This window comes from Homo sapiens, chromosome 5, assembly GCF_000001405.40.
Source record: "Homo sapiens chromosome 5, GRCh38.p14 Primary Assembly".
Lineage (NCBI taxonomy): Eukaryota > Metazoa > Chordata > Mammalia > Primates > Hominidae > Homo > Homo sapiens.
The window spans coordinates 150,774,537-150,799,207 of NC_000005.10; the positions used below are offsets into that span (position 1 = coordinate 150,774,537).

General features: G+C 43.2%; 2 protein-coding genes across 3 annotated transcripts, besides 4 other annotated features; one reads left to right on the forward strand and one right to left on the reverse strand.

The window, feature by feature from the left end:
- Positions 1 to 665: 665 nt before the first annotated feature.
- On the reverse strand, positions 666 to 5,865 carry LOC124901110 (uncharacterized). 2 transcript variants are annotated; one of them, XM_047417995.1, is made up of 2 exons: positions 5,371 to 5,865; positions 666 to 5,015 (listed from the first exon to the last, which is right to left on the reverse strand). In XM_047417995.1, exon 2 carries the CDS (start codon positions 4,583 to 4,585, stop codon positions 3,944 to 3,946), a length of 642 nt encoding a protein of 213 aa, XP_047273951.1. In that variant the 5' UTR covers positions 4,586 to 5,015; positions 5,371 to 5,865; the 3' UTR covers positions 666 to 3,943. The 2 variants fall into 2 exon arrangements, with proteins under 2 accessions (XP_047273951.1, XP_047273950.1); XM_047417994.1 differs by having other exon boundaries at positions 5,327 to 5,865.
- Positions 4,116 to 4,305: a silencer, noted in NCBI's record as "silent region_16517". NCBI's record gives its function as "represses an Ori minimal core promoter by ATAC-STARR-seq in GM12878 lymphoblastoid cells {active_cell/tissue: GM12878}" and the evidence as "EXISTENCE:reporter gene assay evidence [ECO:0000049][PMID:35858748]".
- Positions 4,221 to 22,198, forward strand: SMIM3 (small integral membrane protein 3). Its single transcript, NM_032947.5, has 2 exons — positions 4,221 to 4,436; positions 20,894 to 22,198. Exon 2 carries the CDS (start codon positions 20,905 to 20,907, stop codon positions 21,085 to 21,087), a length of 183 nt encoding a protein of 60 aa, NP_116565.3. The 5' UTR covers positions 4,221 to 4,436; positions 20,894 to 20,904; the 3' UTR covers positions 21,088 to 22,198.
- Positions 4,743 to 5,604: an enhancer, noted in NCBI's record as "OCT4-NANOG-H3K27ac-H3K4me1 hESC enhancer chr5:150158841-150159702 (GRCh37/hg19 assembly coordinates)". NCBI's record gives its function as "activates a minimal SCP1, AML or CMV promoter by ChIP-STARR-seq in naive and primed H9 embryonic stem cells {active_cell/tissue: H9 hESC(naive and primed)}" and the evidence as "EXISTENCE:reporter gene assay evidence [ECO:0000049][PMID:30033119]".
- Positions 14,619 to 15,598: an enhancer, noted in NCBI's record as "H3K27ac hESC enhancer chr5:150168717-150169696 (GRCh37/hg19 assembly coordinates)". NCBI's record gives its function as "activates a minimal SCP1, AML or CMV promoter by ChIP-STARR-seq in primed H9 embryonic stem cells {active_cell/tissue: H9 hESC(primed)}" and the evidence as "EXISTENCE:reporter gene assay evidence [ECO:0000049][PMID:30033119]".
- Positions 15,599 to 16,577: an enhancer, noted in NCBI's record as "H3K27ac hESC enhancer chr5:150169697-150170675 (GRCh37/hg19 assembly coordinates)". NCBI's record gives its function as "activates a minimal SCP1, AML or CMV promoter by ChIP-STARR-seq in primed H9 embryonic stem cells {active_cell/tissue: H9 hESC(primed)}" and the evidence as "EXISTENCE:reporter gene assay evidence [ECO:0000049][PMID:30033119]".
- Positions 22,199 to 24,671: the final 2,473 nt, after the last annotated feature.

The following is a 24,671-nucleotide window of genomic DNA, read 5'->3' on the forward strand; positions in this document are numbered from 1 at the left end:
ATTTATTACAGTAAACAACTATATCAGAATAGGGGAGAATAAAATCTTCTACTGTGTTATGGATTTTGTCAGTGTATTCTCAAGGGTAATGGGGACAAGGACAAATCTACTTTAAAAAGTAACATAAGGAAGACAACTTATTTATTAAACATCATGTGGGCTTAATATATAATGAAATTCTAACAACATTATTGAGCCAATTAAGAAATATGAAGCAGGCTGGGCACAGTGGCTCATGCCTGTAATACCAGCACTTTGGGAGGCCGAGGAAGGCAGATCACCTGAGGTGAAGAGTTCAAGACCAGCCTGGCCAACATGGTGAAACCCTGTCTCTACTAAAAATATAAAAATTATATATAAATATATATATATATATATATATATATTTGTTTGTTTTGTTTTGTTTTTTGAGACAGAGTCTTGCTGTGTCATCCAGGCTAGAGTGCAGTGGCACGATCTCAGCTCACTGCAGCCTCTGCCTCCCAGGTTCAAGGAAGTCTCCTGCCTCAGCCTCCCGAGTAGCTGGGGTTACAGATGTGCACCACCACTCCCGGCTAATTTTTTGTATTTTTAAATAGAGACAGGGTTTCACTATGTTGGCCTGGCTGGTCTCGAACTCCTGGCCTCAAGAGATCCACCAGCCTCAGCCTCCCAAAGTGCTAGGATTACAGGCGTGAGTCACTGTGCTGACTCCTTTTGCATTTCTTTAAGTGGTAAAATAAAACATATACGTTAATATAATCCAAAGGTTTATCAACTCTCAAACATATAAAAATAAGAGGCAAAGGTGTGCAAATGGTGTTCAATACCATGCTTGGTGACCAATGTTTTTGTATTCTATCTTTCTTAGAAATTATCCAAGCAGCTAAGATTATTCACCAGTTTACTTGATTTAGTATCAATCTAAATTCTCAGTTAATTAAAGACCTTGGAAATTAAGTTGATATATTACAGAGTAACATAATCATTGATGATATAAACTATTTAGGAAATTCAGTTTAACTACAATCTCCATGATAAAACACTCTCCATCACTCTCTCATCATCTTGCTTTATGTTCTTCATGGTTTCGCAAACCGGTATCATCTTGCTTATTTATTTGCTTACTTATTTTTTGTGAATATTTTCCCAGTAGATGTAAGCACAATAAATAAAGATAATTTGTCTTCCTTAGTGCCTAGAACATGTAGGAGATATTCAATAAATAGCTTTGAATGAAGGAATACAGTAAGTCCTCACTCAGCCTCCTCAACAGGTTTTGGACACTTTGATTTTGAGTGAAACTATGTATAAGGAAACCAATTTTACCATAGACAAATGGACAGAAAGAAGAGTTAAGTTCCTACAGCATATTTCTGATAACAAAAGTACCACCAAACTTCTAAATAAAGACTAAAACACTTCCAATATTGAACACTGAAATAATTGTGAACCATACATACATTTAAGAAAGATTAGTAAAAACAAGGAAGAGAATTATTTACCTGCTTATTCCAGTTTAGAGTTCAGTGGCCAGAGCCTGTCCCGGCAGCTCAGGGCTCGAGGCAGTAACCAGCCCTGGACAGGACGCCATCACATCGCAGAGCAGACTCACCCACACCCACAATCGTTCACACTGGGACTACATAGACACAGCAGTTTGCCTAACATGCATATCTTCGGGATGTGGGAGGAAACTGACCGGGGTACCTGGAGAAAACCCAGGAAGACATGGGGAGGACATGCAAATGCCACACAGACGGTGATCCCAGCAGGGAAACAATTTTTTTTCCTCATCAACGTTATAACAGAAGGATGTTATTCAGGGGTCTGCTGTATATGAATAAAATATTTACTCATCATAATTGTACCAGATGTGAGGAATAGGTCTCATTTTACTATTTTATGGAGCTTGGGTGGGCTACTGGGTGACAGACTCGAAATACTGGTTTTCTGATTTCTAATACAATATGTCATATTATTCCCCAAAAGTAAATAAATATATTTGTACAAGTGAAAAATGAAAAGAAAATGTCTCGTGTAGATATGATTCTTAAAGAGGGTATTTGCTATGGATTGCATCCTAATGGGGGCCTCTTTAGGCAGTGGTTTGTTTGTTTGTTTGTTTGTTTGTTTTTTGGAGACAGAGTCCCACTCTATTGCCCAGGCTGGAGTGCAGTGGGGCAATTCGGCTCACTGCAGCCTCCGCTTCTGGGATTCAAGTGATTCTCCTGCCTCAGCCTCTCCAGTAGCTGGGATTACAGGCGCCCGCCACCACGCCTGGCTAATTTTTGTGTTTTTAGTAGATACAGGGTTTCACCATGTTGGCCAGGCTGGTTTCGAACTCCTGACCTCAGGTGATCTGCCCGCCTCGGCCTCCCAAAGTACTGGGATTACAGGCATGAGCCACTGCCCCTGGCCAAGGCCGTCTTTTGATGGCAGCCAATGTCATTAGACTACAACTTCTTCTGTACAAGTTCCCCAAAGTATCAGGGGCTCTCTAAGAGAGTATTACTTATTTCTTTCAGGTCCTGATGGTTTTCTCTTTGGAGTGGTTGTAATAGAGGACCAAGGAAGTTGTGAGCTGTTTTCTGGCTTTTGCTGTAACAAAAGCTTGTTGCTGAAATTGACTATTTCCCCCACTCCTGCATCCCAACACAGCATCCATTATTCTTCCCTTCAGTGCTCTCTTTGCAAAATCAGTCTAGCCTAGGCAGCAGACTTAACATGGTATGCTCCTGTGGGGATTCATACTTTATTTCTGGCTTGCTTTTAGGGTCCCAGGGCAAGTCGATATTAAAGAGATACTAATAAATTGCTAAATGGAAAGGGAGACTAGGACTCAGCTGGCTCCAGGCCTGAGCTTCTGCCTTGTCCCAGAGGGAAGCCAATGTTCACAGCAGGGCACATGGAGTTACCAGTTGTCCACCCAAAGGAACTCTCATCCCCTTCACTAACCAGGGAAAATGTCATATTAAGATTGTCCTCCTGTTGCAGTGAGCCGAGATCATGCCACTGCACTCCAGCCTGGGCGACAGAGCGAGACTCCGTCTCAAAAAAAAAAAAAAAAAAAAAAAAGATTGTCCTCCTTCAATCTTTTTTTACTATTAAATGAGAGCTTTGTATTAAACTATTCAGAATTGGGTTGTCCTTGTTTTTAGGTTCCCACACTATCTCTTTTGAATAAAACATGTTGTTGGGTGACAGCCCTTAGGGTTTTTCTCAAATCATTTCTCATGTGAATCCCCTTCATCCTCACTGTCCTTCCCTTAAGAAACTGGCGTGTGATAATGATGATTTAGAGGTCATTTCTGCTGACCTCATCCCTGAATCAGAGGAAACAGCATGGAGTAAGTTCTAAGTTCGGGGCCCACACCATATCAAATTTAGGCCTGGGGAAGGCAGTATGGCTCTTTCCAAACCCTCCAAAACACTACTGGGCTCCAAGACTGCTCAAGGTCTCACTGATAGTCAAGGCTTGTGCTCCTTTTTTTCAGAAGAGTAAGATTAAAGAAAACCACTGTGAATTAAAAAGTGTGGGTGCCAACATGGGACGGGAGTCCCCCCTCACTCCATGGATGACATAGAGGGGGCAGAAGATTACAGAATTGGCATTGTCCTGCGTGGAAGCTGGGCCACCCACAGTGGCGTGGGAAGCCTCTCAGATGCTGGATTCTAATGGGCTCTTGATCACCTTGGATTGGGCTATTTCATTGTTATCACAAAATAAACAGGATGCTCCAAGTCATGTTATGGCAGAGAACCAACCAGCTTCACACTGGTCCTCTAAACCAATCCTCACAACAGGACTGGGAGACAGGTGTTACCTTTCCCACTTTACAGAGAATGAAACAGAGTGGCAAAGCCTCCGAAGGACCCTACACTTCGGACATCGCAAAGCAGGATCTGAGTCCCGGCTCCTCTGTCCAAACCTACTTGCTAGGCTTTCTTTCCCATGTCTACTCTATAGCTGGAAAGGTCGTGGAGGACACATTTTAGGCCAACCCTCTCGGTTTACAATCCAGAGAGGGGAGACCCTCAGAAGCCAAGCGACATGTCCACGGCTACGCGGCGAGTGTGTGGCAACGTGGAAGGGGAGCCCGAGACGCCCTGGTCTCTCCCTTCTCTCGCAGGTTCCTTTCTCCCCGAACGCAGCCCGCAGGGGACGCTGGAGGAGGAGCTGAGCTGGAGTTGCCGGGGCCCCGGGACCGGGCGTTCCGGGGGCGGTCCCCAGCAGCCGCGCATTCCAGAGCCAGCAGCGCGTCCTGGCCGCTCCTGCGCTCTCCCGCCTCCCGGGGCTCGGAGGAGCCGGGGCACGTTCCAGGAGCTGCCTAGGGCTGAGGTTCCAGGCCTGGGGGTCGCTTCCAGCTGCCAGATCCCGTGCAGTCCTGGGGACCCTGAGAAGCACCGAGCCATCCCTGACCCAGGAACTTTCCGCAGACTCGCCGCCATCTGGGGTGAGTGGGGCCACCGGGGGATTGTTTGTGGGGCTCTGGCAGAGCGGAGCTCTTCGGATTCGCGACCTACCTCTAGTGCGGCCCCTTTCCCCGGGCTCCCAACGTTCTTCTTTATGTCCGGTCTCTCCTCCCCATTTCTCCCTTTTCATCACTTTTGTATTTCTTGCCCTCACCCCCTCCTTTTTCTCCTGCTGTCAGCTCTTAAGTTCGAGCCTCCTAGTGCACAGAATTTTGGGCCTGGGGGAGGCGGAGCTTGGGTGGGCGAACCCCAGCCCCACTCGGAGACTGGCTTCTCTCCGGGTCCGCTGCCCTTGCCTTCTCGGGAAGCCTCCTCCTCGGGCAGACTGCCACCTCCTGGCTCTCCAGGCCCAGCGTCAGGGTTCAGCGCCCGGGCCTGAGCACCTGCTTGGGCGCTGCGCTGGGTTTGGGTCTTTGCACTTACCTGTCCCGCTTTTCTCGAGGCCCCGTGTAGAAGGCGCCAGGAGTTTGGAGTCAGGAGTGGCGGGTTCCAGCCCTGGTTCTGTCACTAACTGCTTCACCATCCTTGTTTTTCCATCAGTGAAATTGGGAAAACATTTTCTGCGTGCAGAAAGCAAAGGAGAAAGGACATGAGCAAAGTATCTTGGAGAGAAGGCTTCCTTCAAGCTCCCTCCTGCTGGTTAGCTGTCCCTTTCCTGAGGACGTAGTTGTTCCAGTTGCTGGTTGTTTTGCTCCCTAGTCTCCCCCATGCCAGTTTCTTGAGGGTAGGGACTGCCTGTCTATCGTCATCTCTGAGGCATTCTCAGCTCTTGGAGCAGGGCCTGGCTAACAGTAGGTGCTCCATACATATGTACTGAGTGAAAGGATGAAAGGTGTAACCCCCCCCGCCCCCCCCACAAATTGAAACAAACCTCAGGGGCTGTTATTCTGATTGAGGGCCAGGCTGGGCTCTTACTTATGCAGCTGCACTTGTTTCTTCTGGACCAGCTGGAATCCTGCTGCACCTGGGGGCTGAGGAGTCTCCGGTTCATCTGTGGTGAATACTAAGGTCCTCAAAGCTCCAGGGTGTGGTGGTGAAGGCTGCGCAATCACACAAGTATCAGAGATTCCTTGAACATCTGCTATGATGCGTGCTGCTACTGCAGTGGCCACATAGTTTGGAAGGATTGGGGATGCCTGAATTAGGTGGAGGTGGGAGCGGGAAGAACAGGTACTCTGGGGGTTAGGAGACCCTCTGAATTACCCTAATGGAGGCATTTCCCCTCTCTGGCCCTTGTCTTCCCTATCTGTAAAATGAAGACATGGGAGTGGAACAGATGTTTGTCTGTGGTTGAGCATGACATGCTCTTTGGTTTATGCAGGCCGCACAGCAGCCATCTAGACACACGCAAAGCAGCACAGCTGAGCTTTAGGACATCATGTGCTTCTGCAGTGACAACTGAAAAAAACTAAAAAGTGTTTTCCTGCTCCAGCCGGGACCTCCTGTTCCCAGCTGTCCTGGGACTGTGAATCATGCTGTGGGGGTTACAAGTCATGCTTCATGAACTCTCCCACAAGTGACCTCTCCGAACCTCAGAACTGTGGCTCCATGACACTAAAGATCTGGGGAGTCCCAGAGAACAGCCAGAGAACCACTGAGTCGCGGTGAGGTGTTAGAGATGCAAAACAAATGAGAGACTCTGGGGGCCTGTGGTCAGGTCAGATCCTGGGCCCTTGGGGGTGACAGACCAAGGGGATAAGGGCCAGTCACAGCCTCAGATGCTTTCTCAGCCATACGCCAATCCTTTAAACGTTGTGCCTCCATTTCTTCTCTATGGATTGAAACATGCAAAGGAAATACCTCCAAGGAAAGAGAATATCTTGGTTGGGTGTGGCGGTGGTATAAAAAATGGGCACGTGTACTCACAAACACAGTTTATTGAGGTATAGGAGTAAGTGTTGGCATTGCGACACCCTGCCTTGTCCTCCCCCACCCTGACTGGCCCAGTAAGCGGAATGATGTTATAATGATCATACTTGCCATTTACTGAGTACTTACTATAAGCTAGGCATGACTCTAAGCATTTTACTTGTATTAACTCATTTAGGCTTTACCACAATCCTATTAGGGAGGGACTGTCATCACCTCCATTTTATGGATGAGGAAACTGAGGTCCAGAGAGAGTGACTCACCCATGATCACACAGAAAGTAAGTGGCAGAGCTGTAATTTGAACGCAGGCACCCTGGCTCCAGGGCCTATTCTCTGAACTTCATTGGAATTGGGGGGAACTAGGTTCAGATCTTGCCTCTGTCACTTACTTTCAGGGTGACCTGAGAGAAGTTAAGTGAGAATTTGATAGTCACTGTTCTAGTGGATCCCTAGAGACCTAGTATCCTTCCAACTCACTAGGGAAACAGAAGGTGAACCTCAAGAGATAATGGAGACATCTAGCAGTAAAGGCTAAGAATTAGGTAGTTAGGAAGGGGAACTGCTCAGAAGTATAATTGCCTGGCACATTAAACAACAGCAAGCTAGATTCCACGTCTAAACCATATACTTTAAATTGCTTAGTTGTGTATAGATAGAGCTTCCTTATTTTATTGATTTGCACTCTGATTGGCTGATTGGATATGTTTCTTGCTAGTGACCCACTATATAGGATCATATTCAAGATTCTGGGGACCAGGACATAGATGTCTTTGGTGGTGGTGGTGGTGGGCATTATTCTGCTTTCCACACACATGAGGCTGACTTTGGGAGAGCGACCTGTTGAGGCTCACACATTGAGGCAAGGCACTACCACCGCCCGGTGCTCTTGCAGCTCTGTCACGGAGCACCCTGCCAGCACCTCTCATGGACAGTCTCCTTTGTTAGCCCGACACACAGCAGGCACTTAGTCACTGGCAAATAGCAATGATGGATAGTAGTGCCTTAAACAGGATGCTGGGGATTTGGCCTGGGCTTTCTCCTCTGCTAGCTCTCTGTTGGTTTCTAAGACTCTGTGATTGGCTGGGTCAGATGGTACGTGCGGTCTTACACAGCTCTGGCTGTGTTCCGATCTCTTTGAAATATCTTGGTGTTTTTCCATTTTTCCAGCCACAGAGGAGCAGATGGAAACTCAGGCAGGTCTGTAGTCTGTTAGGAAGTTTGGAGAGACAGGGGCCAGTTGGGGTGAAATGAGAACAGAGTGCTCCTTAGGGACTTTGGGTCATTGGAGAAAAGGCTGTGATTTGATTCATTTCACATTTTTGGTAGTTGTATGTCCTGTCCATTCCTTCCTCTGGCCCCTTTATTTGGACCAAAGGTCCCTGGTGAAATGACTGTGCTGGGTTGGTAAATGTTTGAGGCTGTTACACAGTGGGAGGAGAAATACTTCCAAGAGTAAATGTGAAGCTGGTATGTCCTTCTCATATTGGACTTGGCATGGGAAACCTGCCCCCACTTTTATCAGCCTCCCTGACCTCTTCTAAGAACAGAAAGATTCACATCTTGGGCAACATCACTGCTCCCCTCACCCCTGGTCCCTCCTCCCCACCTCAGTCCCCAGCTCCTGAGCACATGGAGTCAGAACTCGAATTTGAGCTTATCGGCCCAAGCAAATCAACAAGTGGGAATCCTAGAGGGCTTCGTTCTGAAAGGCCAGTTCTCTTCTGCCTGGTATGTACAGGGTGGGCTGGGGAAGAAAGAGCCCCCCATAATCCTTCCTGAATGTACAAAGAGCCCAGAAAATGATAAAATCAGAGGACATCATGTTATTTTGGAGATAGTGTTCTGACTTTTAGAATCACTGGGACTTTTGCAGGGATGAGGATTCTTTCTGGACCTCTTCAGTCAATTAGGTTCCACGAGTGAGCTCACATCTGAAATAATCTTCCCATATTCATTTCTTCATTGATTTCATATTTGTTGGCACTTGTGATATGCCAGGCCCTGTGATAGGTGCTGAGGACACAGCAATACACAAGAGGTGAGGCTTCTGCTCTCCCTGTGCTTGCGTTTGAGGGAGCAAATGAACAAGTCTTTAGCCTGATAGGAAAAAAGCCAATAAAAACAAACAAGCAACAAACAAGCTAATTTTAGATTGTGAAAAGCATATGCAGAAAATAAAACAAGATAAGAGTGATAGTTTAACAGAGTGGGTCGGGAAAAACTTTACTAAAACGTAACATTTAGGTTGAGGTCATGGACATTGAGACAATGGACAGGGGAGGAAAAGAGCATTCTGAGAAGGAACAGCAAACACAAAGTTCTTCAAGTGGGATCAGCCCCTGGGACACAGTTGTTAGGTTCCCCAGGCTACAAAGTGGCCAGTGTGGCCCCATCTAGGAACTTGAATTGCCCTCTCTGGCTTAAATGTTCCATTCTTCCTTGACAACCTCAGCAGCATCTTCTGAGGGTGGAGACTTTTTGGAAGGGGTCCTATAAGGTGGACAATGCTGGCAAACCCTCTAGTCCTGTGCCCTGGGAACCATCAGCCTTGTTCACATTCTGCAAAATACTTGAAGAGTCATGTATCTTTGGACGCCTCAGCATCAGTGACTTGGAGCTGGTTATAGCTGTCTGCTCTCTGGCCACCGTGGCTGGTGGAAACAAAACAGCAGCAGCATGGTCTGCCCAGAGTTCTGGCAGTGCTGGGCTAAGGCCACACCTGCAGGAAGCCACCTGCCTCTATCTGCCTTGTCTCCCACTTTGAGATAATTAAGCTTGCCTGCCAGCAGGCAGTCACTTCTTTTATTGCCTTCTTCCTCAGTGAACTCTGGCAGTAAAACCGGTTGGATAACCATTGGCAAGCTCTCAAAAGTTGACTGTTAGTTGCAGCTCGGATGTGGAGGGTGTAAGTTTCCGGTGGGAGGTTCAAGCTGGGGACAGCTTAAAATTTTTTTACTTAAAAAAACTTTTCACTGTGGTTTCCTACATTGGGCCCAGATCAGTCACGAAGCAGTCACGGCACCCTAACTAATGGCAGAGGCTTTGAACTCCCTTTTTTTTTTTTTTTTTTTTTTTGATACGGAATCTCACTCTGTCACCAGGCTGGAGAGCAGTGGTGTGATCTTGGCTAACTGCAACCTCCACCTCCTGGGTTCAAGCGATTTTCCTGCCTCAGCCTCCCGAGTAGCTGGGACTACAGGTGTGCACTACCACACCCAGCTAATTTTTGTACTTTTAGTAGAGGCAGGGTTTTACCATGTTGGCCAGGATGGTCTCCATCTCTTGACCTTGTGATTTAGGAACGATGCCGGGTTCACTAGCTCAGCTTAACTTCGTGAAGCCCTTACTGTGTACCAGACGTTGTCCTAAGTGCTTTATGCGCATTAGCTCATTTAACCTCCAGAGCATCCCTATGAAGTGGTTACAATTATTAGTTATTATTTCCATTTTACAAATTAGGAGACTAAAGCTCAAAGAGGTTAAACCTCTTGCCAAAGCCACCAGGACTCCATATGCTTCCAACACTTCATGTATCTCATCAACTCTGGGCTTTGTTGATAACATCTATTCTGCTCATCCTGCCTTTCCCCACAAGATCTGAGAGAGACATCTTGAAATCTCCCACTATAATTGCAGATTTGTCTATTTCTCCTTATAATTCTGAGATTAGGTACCTAAAAATAGAAAATCACTTTACCTTTTTGGTATCTTTAGTAATACTTTCTGCCTAAAAGTCTACTTGGCCTTATACTAGTAAGGGACTACCAGCGTATGTGATTCATGGTTACACGGTGTTTCATTTGTATCCTTTGACTTTTTAACCCTTCCAATCCCCATGTGTCTCTTATAAAAAATATATATGTATGTGTATATTTTATCCTTATTTATATGTACCCTAACGGTCCTTGTTAGTTTGGGTTTAAATCTACCATCTTTCTCTGTGCTTTCTATTTGTCCCCTTTATTCTAAGTATTTGTTGTTGTTTTTCTCCTCTCCTGTTTTCCGCTGGAAATTATGCACTCTTTGACTGATATTTTTAGTGGCTACCATAGAGGTTACAATATGCATCCTTGATTTAACAAAGTCTAATATGATTTGGTTCTTCTGCCCTTTCTTAGGCAATACAAGAAAATCAAAATACTTTAATTCTATTTCTTCCAGAATTTGTTTGTTATTGCTCTTGAATACTTTAATTCTGTATTTTTTTTTTCTGAAAATGTCTTTTTTTTTTTTTTTTTTTTTTGAGATGGAGTCTCGCGTTGTTGCCCAGGCTGGAGTGCAGTGGCACAATCTTGGTTCACTGCAACCTCTGCCTCCCAGGTTCAAGCGATTCTCTTGCCTCAGTCTCCCGAGTAGCTGGGATTACAGACGTGTGCCACCATACCTGGCTAATTTTTGTATTTTTAGTAGAGACAGGTTTCACCATGTTGGCTAGACTTGTCTTGAACTTTTGACCTCAAATGATCTGCCTGCCTTGGCCTCTCAAAGTGCTGGGATTACAGGTGTGAGCCACCGCACCTAGCCTGAAAATGTCTTATTGCACCATTATTCTTGGCAGTTATTTCTGTTCACCTCTTTGAAGAGATCATTCTGCTGTTTTTAAATTCCATTGTTTCTGTTGAGAAGTTGGTTGTCAATCTAACTGTTTCTCTTTTAAAGATATTCTGTCTTATTTCTCTTTATCTTTGGATCTCAGCAGATTTACTATATTTCTTTTCTTTTTTTTTTTTTTTTTTTTGAAATGGAGTCTCACTCTGTTGCTCAGGCTGGAGCGCAGTGGTGCCATCTTGGCACACTGCAACCCCCATCTCCTGGGTTCAAATGATTCTCCTGCTTTAGCTTCCCAAGTAGCTGGGACTACAGACGTGTGCCACAACGCCTGGCTAATTTTTGTATTTTTAGTAGAGACAGGGTTTCACCATGTTGGCCAGGCTGGTCTCAAACTCCTGACCTCAAATGATCTGCCCACCTCAGCCTCCCAAAGTGCTGGGATTACAGGCATGAGTCACTGTACCTGGCCAGATTTACTATATTTCTAATTATGGATTCCAATTTATGTATTCTGCTAGGAGTTCATGGGACATCTTTAGTATGCAAATTGGTGTCTTTCATCAGTTTTGGAAACTTCTGTTATTATTTACTCCAATATTGTTCTGCTTCATTCTTTCTTTTCTCCTTCTGATACTCCAGTATATTTATGTTGTACCTTGTCACTGTTTCCTCTATCTCTCTTACCTATTTCTTTTTCTGTATTTTCCATCCTTTTGTTTATCCTTACTTCATTCTAAGTATTTTCCCCTGATCTTTTTTCCAGTTTACTAATTCTCTCTTTTACTATGGCTAATCTACTGAATTTTTAAGCCTATCTACTGAATTTTAAATTTCTATTATATTTTTCAGTTTTAGAATTTTTATTTGGTTCTCTTTGTTGTTGTTGTTTTTCGAGACAGGGTCTCACTCTGTCACCCAGACTGGAGTGCAGTGGCCCAGTCATGGCTCACTGTAGCCCTAGCCTCCTGGGCTCAAGTGATCCTCCCACCTCAGCCTCCTGAGTAGCTGGGACTACAGGTGCACACCATGCCCATCTAATTTTAAAATTTTTTTTGTGGAGATGGGATTTTGCCATGTTGCTTAGGCTGATCTTGAATTCCTGAGCTCAAGTGATCCACCTGCCTTTCCCTCCAAAAGTGCTGAGATCACAGGTGTGAGCCACCACTTGTAACCTCTATTTGATTCTTTTAAAAAAATCTGTTTATTCTTTCTTATAATTTCAAATTCTCTGTCAAAATTCTCAAACTTGGAGTTTTTTCCTCCTTGAACATAGTAAGCTAAGTTATTTGAACTATGTGTCTGTCTGATGACTCCAATATCTGGAGCCCCGGTAGACTTTTTTTTCTATTGTCTGTTGTTTCTGATTATTTTGTTTTTATCATCCTGTCTTTTTGCATTCTTGATTAATTTTGGTTATGTGTTGGACATTATATTTGTAAACAAAACATAATTTGAGACCTATCATGATGATATTGCCTCCAGAGAGGATGTATATTTGCTTCTACCAAGCACCTGGAGATTCCTTAATTTAATTTCAGGAGCTATGATAATGCAAAGCTGAGTTGTAGTCTCTGGGAGGACTAGTATACTTCCAGTTCATCTTTAGCACTAAGGGTGCTTTTTAAGGTCCAAGCTCAAAGTGCAGAAGTTTTACTCTCCCTCTCTTGGCAGTCTTGGACTCCAACTTTTGTCCCCTTAGTCTCCTGAGTCAGTACTGCTCAGTCTCCATTCTCCGGTAGGGGAAAATGACAGGCTCTCCTCCCTGGATTTTTGCCTTCTCCCAGAAAAGTGGGACCAAAAAAACCTAAATGAAGCTTAGAGTCCTGCTTTTTCTCAAGCAATGAAGACTGGTAATTCTTCATTATTTCATTAGCTCTTAGTGCCTTCCATCAGGTTTTTTTGGTCCCACTTTTCTAGCTGTCTTCAGTAAAAGGACTAGTCCAAATTGTCTAGTTCACCATTACCAGAATCGGAAGTCCTGATCTTTATAGATTGCGTATCTCTTCTTAATTCTCTAAATATGGAATGGCCTTCAGCTGAAAACAGTGTTTGACCTGGACTTAGAAGAAAGCTGTGGGTCTGGTATACTCCATGCTTATACATTGGGTCTGTGTGGACTCTTTGGAGGTAGCTGTAGTGTAGTGGTAAGTAAGTGCAGAATCAGGATTCCTGAGTATGAATCCTGTTCACTTAGCTTTATGATCAATGGCTGGCTAACCTCTCTCAGTTTTAGTTTTTATAGCTGTAAAATCCCCACATAGGATTTTTGTGAAGTTTTAATAAGTTAATGAATGGGATTTGTTAAGCAAATACAAATAGTACAAATTTGTGAAATAAAACAATTTATTTTTGTTTTTACAAATTTAAACAAATACAATTTGTTAAGCAAATGCTGGCTCGTGTGATCCTGTGTTTGAGGAAATAAGGGAAGTGGTATTTCACTTCCCTGTGCTTCTTGAAGCACAGAGTCATAAGGAGTAAGTAATAGTAAGTCCTGAGAGAGTATCTTGCAAATACCAAGTACTTGACATATGAATAAATGAATGAATATCCTGGACAGAGTTACTTATCATGATAATACTGAACCAAAAATAAAAACAGTATTGTCCTGTCAGAGAGGAAAAAGTTGCTTGCTAGAGAGTCTGACGAGTAGATAACACAGGCTTGTTGCCTTGAATCCAGTTACCCTAAAACTATCAACTTGTAGGAAATTTTAATTTATGAAATTTATATAATTTTTATATAACTAGAAAACTTGCCAAATGGTGGGATTGGCCGAAACAATGATTCTTTCTTTTGCAAAAAGAACTTTTAATTGCTTAAGAAAAGTGGTCCCAGAAGTAAAATTTGATGTTTCCTAATCAGGCAGTAGGGCTTCCCTTTGCCTGCCTAAACTGGATCAAGTGGAGTACTTAAAAGAGGGGATGAATTTTTACCTTTGGAAAAGTAAAATTTGACCAGGTGCGGTCACTCTCCTTTGGGAAACTGAGGTGGGCGGATCACTTGAGGCCAGGAGTTCAAGACCAGACTGGGCAACATGGCAAAACCTTATCTCTACAAAAAATACAAAAATTAGCCAGGTGTGGTGGCGCACACCTGTAGTCCCAGCTACTCAAGAGGCTGAGGCACAGGTTTGCTTGAACCTGGGAGGTACAGGATGCAGTGAGCTGAGATCACGCCACTGCACTCCAGCCTGGGCAACTGAGCGAGACTGTGTCTCAAAAAAAAAAAAAAAAGAAAAAAAAGAAAAAAGTTTTTTTCCTCTTTCGTAGAAACTACATTGCTTTTCCCCCCACCTTATATTTGGTCTTGTTAGTGGACACAAAATAGTCATTTTGGGATTGTTGACTTTTCCATTGAATTGGCTAAGTTACTTAACCCCTATGGACTGAGGAGGAGCAATGATGTGTCCAGTTCACAGGGCTGGTGGTATAGGGCCTGTGATCTGATGGGATGGCATGTTTGGTGCTAGTGGCTTTTCTGCTGGTGAGCTCAGGGTGGTTTCCGTGCAGTTTCTTAGACAAACTTATATTGAACATATGTCAAAGTTTATTATTTGTTAAGGAGGCAAATAGCAGATAAAGTATGCTGGTTCAAAATAATGAGAGTTTAGACCTGATTGATGTTTTACTTCCTATGGTTATAAAAACATCATATTCTTATCAGTGATAGGCATAAATTTGTGACATAAATGGTTTGGGCCATATCCAACATGAACCATTAATAAGAAATATCAAGCAATATATCTGTGAGGCAAATGATAAATTAATCTATGACTATTATATTAGACATACCAAGAAACAAGGTTTTATGCACTCATGACAGAGAGGTCAAATAGAAGTCAGCTAGGAGAAGCTTAGAGTCCTGCTTTTTCTCAAGCAAATATTTCTAGTGTGCAATTAAAGATGCTGAAGATATGGTTTGCTTAGCTCTTATTTGGGAGACAAAATTTTTCTTTGACAGTAGGGAGAGGTGGAAGCGACTGGAACCCATGTTACATGGGGAAGAACAGTGCAGCAAAGGACACGTTTGAGTTTCGAGAAGAGTGAAACAGGGAGATAGAGCTCCCTGTGCCCTCTGACACCCGACTACTTCTATGGCCAGCCTTAGAATCTTGGAACAGTAGCTCTGGAAGGGCCCTTGGAGAACATTGCAACTTGTGGCTTTCACACTATGTTCTGAGGAGCCCAGGGGGTCGAGGGGAAACTGAATAGTAGCACTGCCCTACCAAGTAAGCCCGCTGCACTGAGCAGGCATGCCAAAGGACAGCTGGGAAAAGTTTTTTCCAATTTTTTCAGTTAGAAGAAAGAACCGACTTTAATTTCGTAACATGCAAAGTTTGTGTGTTATGGTGTAGTATTATTTTTAGTTTGAATTGCATATGTGAAGGGGGTGGGCACCCTCATCTCTAGTGCTTAGGGTCTCTGAGGATAATGTATTCAGCTCTGCTGGGTAGGTAGGACTGCACGCTTCCCCTGCCAGGCCCCCACTTTCCAGGCTCTACTAGAGCAGCCTTACTTTAGCTGTTGGGTATTGGGGTTAGAATAACAATTTCATTTGCAAAAGAGTAATATTAGTACAGTCTAGGATACAGGTTACAGAAGAATTTCATTTATTCATCTACTTGTTCTGTTTTGTTTTAGTTAGGGGCAGCGACACGATCAGATCTATGTATTTGAATGATTATTCCCTTAAGGAGTAAGACTGCAGGAGGGAGAAGACCCCCTGGACCTCAGTTTCACCATCTGTGAAATGGCACTCATTCTAGCTTTAATGTTCCAGGATTCTTGATTGTGGATGAGCCCCGAAGCCTGAGTTCCTGTATCTTACAGGCTTTGCTTATGAAAATCAGCCAGGGTGATTACGTCTTCCTGGCATTTGAAGTCAGGAAGACTGTTTGATGTTAAAGGGTTTACAGGAAAGGACTCTTGTGGGGTTCCTTTAGTCTAAGGCAGCTAGCTGTTGATGTAGTCAGGAGACCACAAAGAATGATTTATCCCGCCCCCGGTCCTCTAACAGTTTCAGTCTCCTGTGACTCATGCTTCTGTGTCTTAGACCTTGGGGAAAGTTACTCCATTTCCTAGGCTGAGACAGGGCCAGCCTGTGCTTCTGTCTCCTCTGCAAGCTCGGCAGATAATCCTATGGCCCTGGGGAGCTTTGTCAGAGGCTTCTCCTTCATCTGGGAACTTGCCCAGATCTGCCCAGCCTGGCTGCAGAGCACCTGGGAATCAATTCCCAAATCTTAATGCCAGAAAAGGCCTTAGGGGTCTTAAAGATTTGTTGAGTCCAGAGGTTCCCAAATCTGGCTGCACGTTGGAATCACCTGGACAATGGGAAAAAAGGGCTCCTCCTCATCCCCTTTGAGTCTAATTCAGTATGTATGGATTGAGACCCAGAAATCAGTGTTCTTTTATACTGTCTTAAGGTCACTTACCATGGTATGTGGCATTTGGTGACTGCTGATCTAGTCTCATCTCTTAATTTTATTTGATTTTAAAATTGTATATGTGTGTTTTTACTTTTTAAGATGGAGAATTATTAAGACAAAAACAAAAAAAAAGCCTCTTTGCCCCCTTAACCCAGTTGGCATAAAAAATTAGAAGTAATAAATGCTCATGTTGAGAAAATTCAAACGGCATAAAATCATGTTTTATGAATGAAGAATGAAAAGCAAAACCTCTTATTCCTAGTCCAGCTCCCGAAAAGGTAACCACTATTAACACTTTCTTGAGAGTACACTCAGAAAGTAATTTTCCTGTATATATCCTCGCCTATTTCCCTACTTAATTCTACAAAATCTGAACCAAAGGAATCATCCTATACACAAGTGTTCTGCACTTTATTTTTATTTTTTCCACTTAAAACTTTTGGAGTTCACTACAGATCAGATTCCTCTTAAATGACTAATAAATAAATTAATTTTTTTATCTCAGTACTTATTTATTCCTCCTGCCTAACTGAAACATAATACCCTTTGACCAGTATCTCCCCATTCCCCCGACCTTCCAGCCTCTGGTGACCACCAGAGGCTTTGCTTTCTGCTTCTATGGGTCTGATATTTTTAGCTTCCATATATAAATGAGAACTTGAGATATTTGTCTTTCTGTGCCTGGCTTATATCCTTTAGCATAATGTCCTCATGTTCATCTATGTTGTCACAAATGGCACTAATTTCCTTCTTTTCTAAGACTAAATAATATTCCATTGAGTATATGCCACATTATCTCTATCCATTCATGGTTAATAGACACTTAGGTTTATTCCATAACTTGGCTCTTGTGAATAATGCTGAAATAAACATGGGAGTGCAGAAATCTCTTTGACATACTGATTTCAAATCCTTTGGTTATATGCCCAGAAGTGAGATTACTGAGATCATATAGTGACTCTATTTTCAATTATTTGAGGAACCTCCATTCTGTTTTTCATAGTAGCTGTATTAATTAAGTAAATTAATATTTGTAATGCATTTGGAACAATGATTGATGTGGAGTAAGTACTATATACTTGTTAAATGAATGAATGAATGGGTGAGTGAATGAATACATGAAAATTGTTGCATGGCATCCCATTATACAGATATACCCTTCTTTATTTTACTATTAGTGGACACTTGTTGTGTCTGTTGCCTTAACAAATAATGCAGAAAGTAACATCCTTGTATGTATTTCTTGGGTACTCTCCTTTGGGTATGGTGATCAATACCTTACTTAGGGTGGCAACAGTGGACATGGAGCCAAGGGCATTAGAAAGGAAAAGTTAGTGATTAGATAAGAATAGGAAATAGGATTGCAATTAGGAATTTTGCTTGGAACCTAGAATCACAGAATTATCGACCTTACATTTGAAAGGACCTGCAGGAGATAGTTCCAGCCTTGTGCCCTCTGGGCAGGGAATGTATTATATCGATGGTTCCCAAGCTGAGCACTGAAGTGTCCTGGGAGCCCCAGTGAACTCACTAGAAGGAGGGGAGTGCTGCAGGATGTTTAAGATTTTTGACAGAAGTAGTGATATTTGACAACATCTCTCAGACACTTTACAAATGATTAGCTTAAGATAGTTCACAGTTTAACACTAATCTTACTACATGCCTTTTGTTAATGTTATAATTTATGAAGTTGATTAAAAAAATTATTTTTGAGATAGGGTCTTGCTCTGTCACCCAGGCTGGAGTGCAGTGGTGTGATCATGGCTCACTGTAGCCTGGACCTCCTGGGCTCAAGCAATCCTTCCACCTCAGCCTCCCAAGTAGCTGGGACTACAGATATAAGCCACCATGCCAATCTAATTAGCATTAAATTAGATTAAATTAGAATTAAAATCTCACTATATTGCTCAGGCTGGTCTTGAACTCCTAGGCTCAAGCAATCCTTCCACCTTGGATTCCCAAAGTGTTGGGGTTATAGGCGTGAGCCATTGCACCCAGCCTGAAGTTGATTTTTTGGTGGTTGCATGGTATGGCAAGTACTGGGCAAAAATTAATGTGAAATAATAAGTGAGGATGGCATTGTCCAATATTATTCCAAAGTTTGAAAAGTTACACAGTGTCCAGCAGGTGCATATATTCCATTAGTAACTAGTTAAGAATGAAATAAAAACTGTTTTTTTCAATTTGCGTGTATTTTTTTTTTTCAAACAGCTACTAAGTTGTTAGGCCATAAATACATATTAAGTTGTTTGATTGTGTCATCTATGATTTCTTTCAGCAGCGTTTTGTAGTTTTCCTTGTACAAAACACTGCTAAAAAGAAATCATAGATGATACAAACAAATGGAAACACATTCCATGCTCATGGATGGGTAGAATAAGTATTGTGAAAATAACCATACTGCCAAAAGCAATCTACAAATTCAACGCAATCCCCATCAGAATACCACCATCATTCCTCACAGAATTAGAAAAAACAATTCCAAAATTCATATGGAACCAAAAAAGAGCCTGCATAGTCAAGGCAAGACTAAGCAAAAAGAACAAATCTGAAGGCATCACACTACCTGATTTCAAACTACACTATGAGGCCATAGTCACCAAAATAGTATGGTACTGGTATAAAAATAGGCACATAGACTAATGGAACAGAACAGAGAACCCAGAAATAAACCCAAATACTTACAGCAAACTGACCTTCAACAAAGCAAACAAAAACATGCAATGGGGAAGTGACACCCTTTTCAACAAATGGTGCTGGGATAATTGGCTAGTCACATGTAGCAGAACGAAACTGGATCCTCATCTCTCACCTCATACAAAAATCAACTCAAGATGGATTAAGGACTTAACTCTATGACCTGAAACTATAAAAATTCTAGAAGATAACTTTGGAAAAATCCTTCTAGACATTGGCTTAGGCAAGGATTTCATGACCAAGAACCCATAAGCAAATGCAATAAAACAAAGATAAATAGCTGGAACCTAATTAAACTAAAGAGCTTTTTCATGGCAAAAGGAACAGTCGGCAGAGTAAACAGACAACCCACAGAGTGGAGAAAATCTTCACAATCTATACATCTGACAAAGGACTAATATCCAGAATCTACAACGAACTCAAACAAATCAGTAAGAAAAAACCAAAGAATCCCATCAAAAAGTGGGCTAAGGACATGAACAGACAATTCTCAAAAGAAGATGTACAAATGGTCAAAAACATATGAAAAAATGATCAACATCACTAATGATCAGGGAAATGCAAATCAAAACCACAATGCGATACCACCTTAATCCTGCAAGAATGGCCATAATAAAAAGAAAATCAGAAAACAGTAAATGCTCGTGTGGATGTGGTGAACAGGGAACACTTCTACACTGCTGGTGGGAGTGTAAACTAGTACAGCCACTATAGAAAACAGTGTGGAGATTCCTTAAATAACTAAAAGTAGGACTACCTTTTGATCCAGCAGTCCCACTACTGGGTATCTACCCAGAGGAAGTCATTATTCGAAAAAATACTTGCACATACATGTTTATAGCAGCACAATTCACAATTGCAAAATCATGGAACAAACCCAAATGCCCATCAATCAACAAGTGGATAAAGAAACTGTGAGATATACACATGATGGAATACTACGTAGCCATAAAAAGGAATGAATTAACAGCATTTGCAGTGACCTGGATGAGATTGGAGTCTATTATTCTAAGTGATGTAACTCAGGAATGGAACACCAAACATCGTATGTTCTCACTGATATGTGGGAGCTAAGCTATGAGGACGCAAAGGCATAAGAATGATAATTTGGACTTTGGTGACTTGGGGGGAAGAGTGGGAGAGGGGCAGACTACAAATAGCTGTTTCCAATCGTGTTCAATTCACTGAATCCTTAGTGTCTTAGTCATTTTTTAACAGCACCCTAGGTCAAAATAAATACCGAGCAGTTCCATTTATTAAGTAGTTAGGCTCAAACAATTTATTTATTTATACCTTTTTAATTTTATTTTTCCATAAGTTACTGGGGATGGAAACATATCCATCCCTGTACTCAGGTCAGTGTCCCAACGAAACCACACAGAATAGGTAGGTTCTCCCCAGAAAGGGGAGAATGGGAGAAGCGGTATAGGACCAAAAACAATGCATCTCTCATTTTATAGATGAGAGAACAGACTGGTAGTATGGTAGCTTAATAGTTAAGCAGGAAAGCTTTGGAGTCCCACCCATCTGGGTTCATGTTCTCGGTCAAATTAATGTCATCTTGCCTTTTAAGACTTTAGAGTCCTCATCTGTAAAATGGGTGTAACAGAAGGTAAAGGCCAAGAAATAGAAAACAATAATTATAGTCCTTGCCTTATAGGGCCAGTGGTTCAAGTAAGGACTGAATGTGTTAATAGACATAAAGTGTCTAGCACAGGTCTGGCAATAGGAAGCCCTCAGTAAATGAAGCCATTGTAATTACTAATCAGGGAACCTTAAAGTTTACATATCTGGTAAGTGACCCAGGCTTCTGACTCCTGAGGGTTTCCTTCTAACCAGGGAGGCAGGGAGAGAGTACGCAACAGTGATCTTCCTTTCTTGTCTGTTGCAGAGTGAAGCAACATGGATGCAGTCAGCCAAGTCCCCATGGAAGTCGTGCTTCCCAAGCACATCCTGGATATCTGGGTTATTGTCCTCATCATCCTGGCCACCATTGTCATCATGACCTCGTTGTTGCTGTGCCCAGCCACTGCAGTAATCATCTATCGCATGCGGACTCATCCGATCCTTAGTGGGGCTGTTTGAGAGCCTCCCAAGAGGGCCGGGTGAGGGATGAGGACAGGCATCCTATCCCCAGCCTCTTCCTGTCTTCAGAAAAGCAGCAGGAGGGACTTTGGGGCATGGACCTGAGTTCTGGTTTTGATTCTGCCACGAGCCAGCTGTGTGAATTTGGTCAAGGGACCTAACTCTCTGAGTTCCAGGTTCCTTATCTTTCAAATGGGGATGGTGATCCCTGCCCTTTCTACCTCATAGGGATGTGAGAACCACCTGACTTAGTGGATGTGAAAGCTGTTTGTGATCAGTAAAGCTACCACAGATATAAGGGTGTTATGCTGAATCCTGAGAAGCTTTCAAGAACCAGAGAACCTGATTGCTGATGATGGCCTTAAAGGTGGTGAGGGAGATACTGGGGGCAGAGCAGACTTTGCCAGTGCCCCTCAGGTCAAACCAAGCCAAGAGCACCCTGTCCCCATTCCAAGGGGCCAGCAGCACTTTGGCCCAAAGTATTTTCTTTAAGGTGCCATTCCTTCATGTTTTCTCAGTTTGGAGGGTGATGGGTAGAGCTTTCCAGAACCTTCTCCATTCCAGAATCTCTGCCCCTGTGTAATCTGAAGGAAGGCTGTGCCATCTTTGGGCACTGCCAAGGGAGTTGGGGTGATGGGCTTCTTTCTGCACTGGAGTCTCACATCTGTTAGCTTTGACACTCAAGCAATGTTGGAAAATGCAGGGTGACTGAGTTCCCTGCCCAGCTTTCGGGATCTCTGGCCCCCATCCCCTTGTGTGTGTCCCTCTGCCCAGCTCCTGCTGTAATTAGCTCCACGTGTACCCCCTTCACTCCCTCCCACCAGCTCTGCAGCCAGCCTATGGCAATTATATTTTAAGAGGTGTTCCCAGGACTTTTGGGACCTACTAAAACAATGATGGTTATTTTAGATGTGATGATTTATATTTATGTAGAGATATTTCTGGACCACTCAAGCTCTTCGATACCAAAATCAGGAGCATCTTGGGATTTATTAAATTATGTAAGAAGATAGCACAGATATCGGGATATTATTGTGTGAAAATGCTGCTTTTACTTTGATGTGATCTCATTGATGTACACAACCAAGTTCCAATAAAGTGCTAGAATGTGCATGTCTGAGGTCTTTCTTTAAAGAGCAACTGTTAAACTCAGAACTCAGGTAAAAGCCTTACACTGAATGTATGGGCCTTCAAGACAGTTTGAATATAGTAACAGAAAAGGGAAGAGAAGAATCAAATTTACTTCCAGGGCTCTAGCTTCAGCACGTGGGTGAAGTTGTGCAGGTTACACACAGATAGTGCAGAGGAGAAGAACCGATTTTGAATATCAGATTCAAAGAATGACAAATAAGACCATGAATTTCGTATTGGACATGTTGCATTTGAGGTGCTTGTGATATTCAGGTGGACTCATTCAGGATGCAGTTGGAGATCTGAGTCTATTCCTGGGAAAGATGTTATGTCTGGTATTAGGGTATGGGGGATTAACCCCTATGGTAGATAATGGTGTACAAGTAGATAGGATCAGAATATACAGACTTAGAAGAGTGAGATGCTAAATGCAGAACTTGGAAGACACTAAATAGGAGGGGAAGGAGAGTAGAAGGGGAAAAAAGAGAGATTGGATAGGTCCTATGATATGAGGTGTTTCAATAGAGGTGCAATTATATACATATATATATATATATATATATATTTTTTTTTTTTTTCAGTAGAGATGGGGTTTCACCATATTGGCCAGGCTGGTCTCGAACTCCTGACCTCAAGTGATCCACCTACCTCCACCTCCCAAAGTGCTGGGATTACAGGTATGAGCCACCACGCCCAGCCCTAATAGTATTTTGTAGGTTAAGAAATGAGTGGGAGGTTAGGAAGTTGAGACAGTGAGAACAGAAACCTTTCCAAGAGTAGCATTGTAATACAGAGGTAAGAGTTAGAGGAGAGCGTCAGGGGGAAATGGTGAAGGGGGTTTCTGTCTTAGTACATTTGGGTGGCTCTAACAAAATACCTGAGACTGGTAATTCAGAAACAACAGAAATTTACTGCTCACAGTTCTGGAGACAGGGAGGTTCAAAGCACATGCAGATTTTGTGTCTGGTGAGAGCCTGTCCCTCATAGATGGTTGTGTTTTTTTTTTTTTTTTTTTTTGAGACAGAGTTTTGCTCTTGTTGCCCAGGCTGGAGTGCAATGGTACGATCTCGGCTCACCACAACCTCCGCCTCCCAGGGTCAAGCTATTCTCTTGCCTCAGCCTCCCGAGTAGCTGGGATTACTGGCATGCACCACCATGCCTGGCTAATTTTGTATTTTTTGTAGAGATGGGGTTTCTCCATGTTGGTCAGGCTGGTCTCGATCTCCCGACCTCAGGTGATCCGCCTGCCTTGGCCTCCCAAAGTGTTGGGATTACAGGCATGAGCCACGGTGCCCGGCCTATAGATGGTACTTTCTATGTGTCCTCATGGTGGAAGAGACAAACAAGCTCCCTCAGGCCTCTTTTACATGGAAACTAATCCCATTCATTACAGCAGAGTCCTCATGACCTCATCACCTCCCAAAGGCTTCACCTCTTAGTGCCATCACCATGGGGTTGGGTTTCAACATATGAATTTTGCAGGGACACAAACATTCAGACCATAGCAAGGGGATAGTTAAGATGTCATAAGATTCTGATAGGTTTGCTCAGCATCTCTTCCAACTGTTTTTCTGGCATGCCTTCCTGGATGGCAGAGGCTGGAAAATAAAACAACAACAAAAAACTACAATGAAAGTAAAAACCTGTATTTCTGTAACTACACTTGATAGAGATTCAAAAGTGATTTAGGCTTTGCTGTTCAGATGCATGCATACCATGTTTTAGTTTGGAACCCAGTTCAGCTGGGAGAGCTAGGACAGGGTGTGAGACAATCACAACACTGGTGTGAATCCCAAAGCTGCAGCACAATCTGGAGCCAAGCCCGCAGCTTTCTCATGCCTGGATCTCAGTTGAGGTGGGACAGTCCTGCAGCCCACAGCCAAGGCTGTGGCTTTCTTGTTCCCTAGCTTCCCACTTGTTACGGAAGTAGTAGCTCCCCAGGATGGCCGGTTCTGCAGTATTGATCTGGAAGGAATTCTAGTAACCCCTGCCTTCTGTGCTCTCCCAATCCTTTTAATGATTTTCAGCACATAATTCCCCATATTAAAGCATGTTTAGGCTGGACGTGGTGGCTCACGCCTGTAATCCCAGCACTTTGGGAGGTCCAGAGGACAGGAGTTCGAGACCAGCCTGGCCAACGTGGTGAAACCCCCTCTCTACTAAAAGTACAAAAATTAGCTGGGCATGGTGGTAGGCGCCTGTAGTCCCACCTACTTGAGAGGCTGAGGCAAGAGAATCACTTGAACCTGGGAGGTGGAGGTTGCACTGAGCCGAGGTTGCGCCACTGCACTCCAGCCTGGGCAATAGAGCGAGACTCTGGCTCTAAATAAATAAATAAATAAATAAAGCAAGCATGTTTAATTTCCATTTGCCAGAGTATACCTTAATTGATCCAGATGGAAGAAAAATCTATTAATTCCTATCAATTATTATCCTAGCAATTCAACTTCTAA